Source organism: Homo sapiens, chromosome 5 (genome assembly GCF_000001405.40).
Source record: "Homo sapiens chromosome 5, GRCh38.p14 Primary Assembly".
Taxonomy (NCBI): Eukaryota; Metazoa; Chordata; class Mammalia; order Primates; family Hominidae; genus Homo; species Homo sapiens.
In genome coordinates, this window is record NC_000005.10 from 158,077,442 (window position 1) to 158,085,003 (window position 7,562).

The 7,562-nt window shown below is 39.4% G+C and overlaps 1 pseudogene; it reads right to left on the reverse strand.

Moving 5' to 3' along the window:
- Positions 471 to 1,413, reverse strand: LOC100128898 (latexin pseudogene; annotated as a pseudogene).

Here is a 7,562-nt window from a genome sequence, read left to right on the forward strand (position 1 = left end):
TTTATCATTTGTGTTGTGAACATTCAGAATCCTCTCTTCCAGTTTTCTTAAAATATACACTAAATTATAGCTAACCGCATTCACCCTATATTGTAGCAGAATATGGAAACTCTTTCCTTCTATGCAGTTTTGTGTCTATTAACTAGCATCTCCCTATCCTCCCCTCTCCCCCTCCTTCCCAGCCTCTAAAAACCACAGTTCTACTCTCTGCTTCTATAAGCATATTTTTAAAAAGTTTCCATGTAGGAGGGAGAACATGTGGTATTTGTCTTCTCGTGCCTGACACTTCACTTAACATATTGTCCGCTAGGCTCATACATGTTGCCACAAATAACAGGATTTTATTCTTTTTTATGGCTAAATTGTATTCCACTCTCTGTATATACCATATTTTCTTTCTTTTTCCTTTTTTTGAGGTTGGAAATGGAAACATTTTATTGTGGGATATACATACCACTATTACTGTTATGAAGACTTTTTTACGTAGTGACACCTTGTATTATGGAATCTATATAGTTCTATACTATAATCAAGACATTTATACAAAGTGACACTTTGAGATATGGTTGGCCCCTTTAGCTGGATACCAATGAAGACTGGCATCCACACATTCACAGGCATGTTTATTCTTCATCCTAGTGTTAGGGTTTCTGTTTATTCCGCTTGTACTTCCCTTGGCAGACAGCGATTACATTTTACCTCAGCACCATCTTGTCAGTGCCAAAGAACTTGCATTTGCCAAGGAATCAATCTCCTGGGATGCAATGTCATGAAGTGGAATGGTATAGTCTATTCGATAAAGTCATCATTTTTTTGCATTTCCTTGACAGTTTAATTTTTACCACTTTTATATCACGTGTTTTCACCAGAATTTTGCCATGTTACATAACCACAGGCAACCCAGGCTAAATGTTGACCTGGCTTCATGTTTTGGAGATACATTTCTCAAAATGTCTGGAATATTTTGTGCTTCTAGTGATTCCTTCATGGACTTGAGTTTTTGATCAGATGTGTTGTTTTCTTTATCTGGGCTCTTTCCATTTCTCCTTCACATGTGATGTTGATTTCTGGTACAGTATCTTGTCCCACTGCAGGGTAAGGCGATTCAGCTATGCAGTTCACTGCAATTTGTTTTAGAATAACTTATTCCACAGAACATTTGAGGTGATACTTATGTCCTTTTCCTGGGATATCCTCCGTGCTGGTTTGTTTGACTGTCTCCCTCAGAAATACCTTGTGGGGTGTCCCTTGCTGGTAGTTGAGGCAGATCACTGCCACCGAGGCTGCCTTGGAGGCTGGGTCATGGGTTCATGAAATTTCTATTCTTGGTTAGCAGTGACCATGAGTCTGCTCAGGCTTAAGGGGACCAGTAGCCTCCTACCCTGCTTGCTCCCAGGTTGCTGAGGCAGAAAAACTGTCATGCCTGGCTTGGGCTGGGTGTGGGAAGGATCACCCTTTTTTGTTTTGTTTTGTTTTTAAATATATGGCCCCTTTTTAAAGGAAAAGTATTATCTCGACTCCAGAGAAGACAACTGCCTCTTAGTTAAGAAACTTTCCACTGCAAATTGTCAGTGCTAAGGAGAAGTTTTGGCGTTACAGTCGCTGGAACTTTTTCTTTTCCTCCTTTTAAAATTATCGCTGAAGTAAGAATACATGATGAAAAAATCTTCTTGAAACTCTCAGGTCCTGGAGAAAGTGTATACAGAGTCCTCAGGACAAACATGGGGCTCAGTGTGAGAAGCACCACCTTAAACAAAGGCAAGTTTATGCATGTGATTTTAGAGTGCTGTTTCCGGTCCTCTGGAGAGAGATTTTGGGCCTTTCACGGTCTTTTAAATTAAGCACTGCAGCAGTCTCCCTACACACAGGGTCTCAGTTCCCCACTCACTTCCCCATTTCTCCATTATGTTTCTTTAGACAGCCAAGCAGCAATTTCTTTGATGACTGATGCTGGTGCCCCTCACTGGCCCTCATCCTATCTCCTTGTGACGACTCTTACTGAAGATGGACCTCAACCCCCGTTGAGAGGCGTGGTGGTGCCAGATTCACAGACCTGTTTTATATTTTGCCAAAAGAGAACTAGCTCATTTAGAAGGCTCCTGTGCTGTCTCAGAGGGTTGCCTCCACTGTCTGCCTCAGGCTTAACTAACATCCCCCCAAGCTTCATGGAGAAATCCAGTAAGAAGAGACGGCCATTTTGAGAAAATTATTTAGATTCTGGGCATGGAATCGGTAAGCTCAAGAGAGCATCTTCATCTTTGTGCGATTTTGATTGTGGCAAACCGTTCTTGCTCATGCCTTAGAATGTGTTTATCTTGGGCATCAGGAGAAGAAAAAGTGATAGAAACAGGCAAAGGTAGATCATAAAAAACAAAGGAAAAGAAGAGGTACACAACACGGTAGAAAAGAGATCAAGCCTGTAATCTCATCACTGCAGGTGGAGGTGGGAGGATTGTCTGAGCCAAGGAGTTCCAGACCAGCCTGGGCAGCATGGTGAAATCCCATCTTTACAAAAAAAAAAAAAAAAAAAAAAAAATAGCTGGATGTGGCGGTGCAGGTCTGTGGTCCCAGCTACTTGGGAGGTGGGAGGATCACTTGAGCCTAGTAGGTCAAGCTGCAGTGAGCTGAGACTGCATCACTGCACTCCAGCCTGGGTGACAAAGCAAGAGACCCTGTCTCAAAAAAAAAAAAAAGAAGAAGAAAGATATATCCACATGGTGCCATCAAAGACTTTGAGCAGTGGGACTAGTATGTTGGGCACCTACTGTCCACCAGCTGATTAACAGTGTACTCTGCAGTGTAATGGGGAGGAATCTTCACCCAAAAAATCAGCTATGTAATTCAACTGTAAGTCCTGCATTCCGATGGCTAGAGGAAAACATGACCCTCTGGGAGTTTAACTTTCCCTGCTGTGCCCCACCCCCTCACCTCCAACAGGGATTTCCCAAGATTCTAGACTTTTTCTTAGAGTCAGCTAGAAGTGTCCCCATTGGTTCATAGAGGTCAGCTCTCACTGCTTCTGTTGGCCCTTTAGTTGCTGGTTCTTGGGGTTTAGGACTCTTTGGGAGTCCCTGCATCCTGGGTTAAGACTCCCTTAGCCTGCCAGATATTTAGCCCGTGAGCTTTGCTGTTGGTGTTGCCAAAATGTCATCTCTTTCTGCTTACAAAAACTTTCCTCTTTCCTGATCACTCTCTTATTACCCTCAAACGCACACCTTCTCCTTCCCGTTGAGTCTCCTGCTCCAATCTCTTCAAAGTGCTGAGGCTTTACAAAAGTTGGAAAGAACCATTGACTTAAGCAGCTTGTGCTTTCTATCCTGCAAAACACCCTCAGGCAAGGAGTTATTAAGGGTCACAATACATATTTGGGAAAGAGAAATAGGGAAAAATAAAGCAGAATACTAATTAATATCTTAAAAATTTTCCTGCCTGGTGATACTACTCACATCCTGCAGGTCTAAACCTACCTTCGGGACCCTTTTAGAATATGATGAGAGGGTTTGAATATTTGTCTGATTTTCTTGCAGCTCATTAAAAAATATCTTTTGAATAGGTAGTACATGCCCATGGTTCAGAATTCAAAAAGTACAAATACATATATAGTAGAAAGTCTCTCTCCCACCCTTATTCCCCAACCACTCATTTCTCTCCACAGGTGACCACTATTATCTGTTTCTCAATTTTTCTGCCAGAAATATTTCCTGATACATAATCATATATGAATATATCATTTTGCACCTGTTTGGCTTAATATATATATTTGAACTTTTGTCTACATAATTACATAGAGCTACCTCTTTAATTTTAGTAACTTTGTAATATATTCTATTATATATATTTACCATAATTTTTTTTTTTTTTACCAGCCCTCTGTTGATAGACATTCAGATTGTTTCATCTTTTCTGTGAAAAGCAGTGATACAATGGTAATCCCGGCTATTGTACACATGTGTAGGTAAATTTCAGCATGAATCATTAGAAGTTTAGGTATTGGGTTAAAGGATATGTGCATTTTAAATTTTGATAAATATTGCCAGATTGCCTTTCTCAGAGATTAAATCAATTTACATTTCCATCAATAAGGTATAAGAATACCTATTTTCTCCACCTTCAATACAAGTGGCTACAAGTTTTTTTTTGGTCTTTGTCAATCTGATCAGTGAAAGATGGTATTTCAGTATAGTTTTGAATGTTCATTTCTCTTATTATAAGGAAATTGAGTAAATTTAATATGTCCATAAGCCGCTTTAGTTACTTGTGAAGAATCTATGTCCTTGGCAATTTTTCCTTCTGTAGTTGGGCTTTTTCTTATTGATTTTTAGGAACTCTTTGTATATTAATAAAAATACCCTTTGATCTATAATATGCATTGCCACCTAGTTTCCTCCAGTTTGTTATTTATCTTTGTTTCTTCTTCCAGTATTTTCTTTTATGTAGAATTTTGTGGGGTAAAATTCATCTTTACTTCATTCTGGCATCTGAATTTTGTGTTACACACAGACATACTTTCTCCATGATAAAATTATAACATTTCCCCCCAAGTTTTCTACTAGAACCTTTATGGCCACATATTTTCTGGTTTAATCTTTGATTAATCTGAACTACTTTTAGGTATAGGGAGTGATTTGGGAATTAAACATTATTTATTTTCCCAGACGATTACTTAGTTTTCCCAATGCCATTTTACTCATTTTGCAGTTCTTTAAAAATTTTTTGCATGTATGTTTTTTCTGAATTCTGCTTCTAGAGTCTGAGTGGGCATAGTTGGTAGGTAGTATGAATATCCCGGGCACACAAGTAATGAATGGCTGCCATTGAAGAGTCTAGAAATGAGTCTCATGGGCAGGGGCAGGGGAGGAGTCTATTTTCACTTCGTAACCCCTTTCATGGACGTTTACAGCCTTGAGAAGAATGGGTTGGCTTTAGATTTAACACCCTTGGGGCTAAACCTTGGCAGCAAAGGAAAACCTAGTTAGAATTGATAGTAAATAAGGTATAACGAGCCCATGTTAAATATATACTTTGCTATCATGTGGGAAGACCATTTGGTTTATAATGGCCTTTTTTTCCTACCATAAATTATTTCCCAATATTTCTAAAGGAATTTTTTTTTCACAAAAATATCTCAGAGAGGTGATTTTTATCTCTGGAGGCACTCATTCTGAACTGTTTCCTTTTTGTTTTTCTCCATAGAGTGATTTACTAGTTGCATTTTTTCCATAGTCGTCTCTGTTATACTGAAATCCTTTGTCCTATGTCACAGTCACAAATCATTTATCTTGGTTATTTTGGGGAAAAAGATACTTTCCAATAAGACACTATCATTCCACTGGACACTCCCCACATTGCCCTTGTCTCTCCCCGAGCCTATGTCTTCTTGAGACTCTTGGATCATCAATCAATTTCTGACTGGCCAGGTTATTGAGGCAAACCTTCTCCTGGTATTTTTGGTTGGGTTGAGCAGGCATTTGGCACTGTGTGGACACAGTAAAAGCATCTCTCAACAGATAATAATCAGATCTTCAGGAAGAATGCCTTGCTCTTAAGTCTTTAGATGAAAATATGTGTGACAAGGGAACCATCTGAGATAAATATTTGTTAGGAACTCTCACTTGGGAAGAGTGCATACTCTTGAAGTCAGTGGTTGTAAAAATGAATGAGTAGGAAAAGCACCCGGGGAACTTGTTAACCAGGCAGAGTGCTGGACTCCACCCTTGGGGTTTATGCAGTCTTAAGTCTTGGATAATTCCTAGGCATTTTTATGTGAACAAACTCCTCAGATGATTTTGATGTAAATTGTCCACAGAGGATACTTTGAGGTTCTCAATGAAAAGACTTTTATTTGGCAGTGCCCGTTTTCAGCAGAAGTAGAGTGAAGACCAGATTGGACTTTGGAGTTGCTCCTTTGTGCTCTGTGCATGCTCTCTTCTTGGTCTGGGGTCTCCTTTTGCCCTCAGTTGTACATCCTCACCCCAAATACCTTAGGCCACTACTTGGCAGTTTGTCTTTGGGCCTCTGATGCTTGCCATGGCCCTTCTCCTGATGAATGTGGACTGCCTTGTTTTTCAACACCTGAGAGCCCAGATAAGAATCTGAATGGTTAATTCTAGTGAACGCATCATTTCATATGTAATCAGTATTCTTTGAGTCCCCAACATGTGTTAAAATAATTATCCTTCATGTCTGTTTGCTAGGTGCTGGGGATAAGAAGATGAAGCATATAGCTTCTACCTTAAAGGTAGTCATGGTCTGGAGCTGGGATTTGCAAACTTTAAAATAAAGGCTAAAATTATAAAGCTTTGTGAGCTATATGGTTCTCTGTTATAACTACTAAACTCTACCACACAAGTGTGAAAGCAACCATAAAAATATGTAGACAAATGAGTATGGCTGTGTTCCAGTAAAATTTTATTTACAAAAATGGGTGGTGGATCGCTAGGGTGTGGGTAAGCAATCAGTTACATACATTGTGATAAAGTTGGAATAAAGGCCAGGACCAAGGGTAGCTATTGTGCATCTTCTCAAGAGCCAGCTCTGATCAGTTGGTAGTGACTGCTTAGAGCACTGGGTTCATTCATTCATTTGCTCAACAATACTTCCTTATTTAATGTGCCTATGTTTTAGATTTTGTGGCAAAAATTACAATTATTTATTAGCTTTGTTTTCCGTGCATAGAGAGTTACAGCATTAGGACTGTGTATTTGCCATCCATGAGCTATGTCTTAAAAATACAAAAACGAATAAAGAATATTCTACCTGTAAGGCTCATACATGCATGGAGTCCACAGTTTTGCAGTAACCTGTTAAAGTTGGCACTATGATGCCTTTTAAACAGATGTTAAAGGGATGTTAAGAAACACGGTAGCGATCACTCAGCTAGTGAGCTATAGAACAGTGATTTCAGCCCATGTCTCTTGCTTATAAATCCAAGACCTTTACACTGCACCCAAGCTGCTTTTAATAATAATGATTTATGGTACAGAGTTGTGGTTTGAACTGTAGTGTAAACCAGAGGTCAATGACCTTTAAAAAGTGGCTTGCCAAAATTCCAGTCTTTTTCCTTTTGACATGCCTGGACAAGGTCAGAATTGGAGCAGATCACGACAAGCTTGTCCCTAAAGGGTGTGGGAAACAGGGTTGTTGAGCTTATGCCGTGTGTGTGCATGTGTGTGTATGTTTGTGGGTGGGTGTGTAACCCTACTGAAGCCAGGACTCACATAGGCCAGTCTCAGAGCTATGTTGCAATCAAAGGACTTAGTTAAAAACCCCAAAACGTCAATTCAAAACAACTCAAGTTCTTTATTAGAATTGCTCCAACATTTTAAAAAAACATTAAACCCAATTTTATTTTGGAAAACTGTGCATATTTAATATATACAACTTGATGAGTTTGGGGATAAGTATACACCTGTGTAACCATCACCATCATTAAGGCCATAAACATATCCCTTCCCTCCTCAAGTTTCCTCTTGCCCTTTCCTCCTTCTCTTTCATCTTTGTCATCTCCTCTTTCTTCTTTTTCTTTATATCCTTTTTCTTCCCCTCCTGCTCTTTTCTCTCTT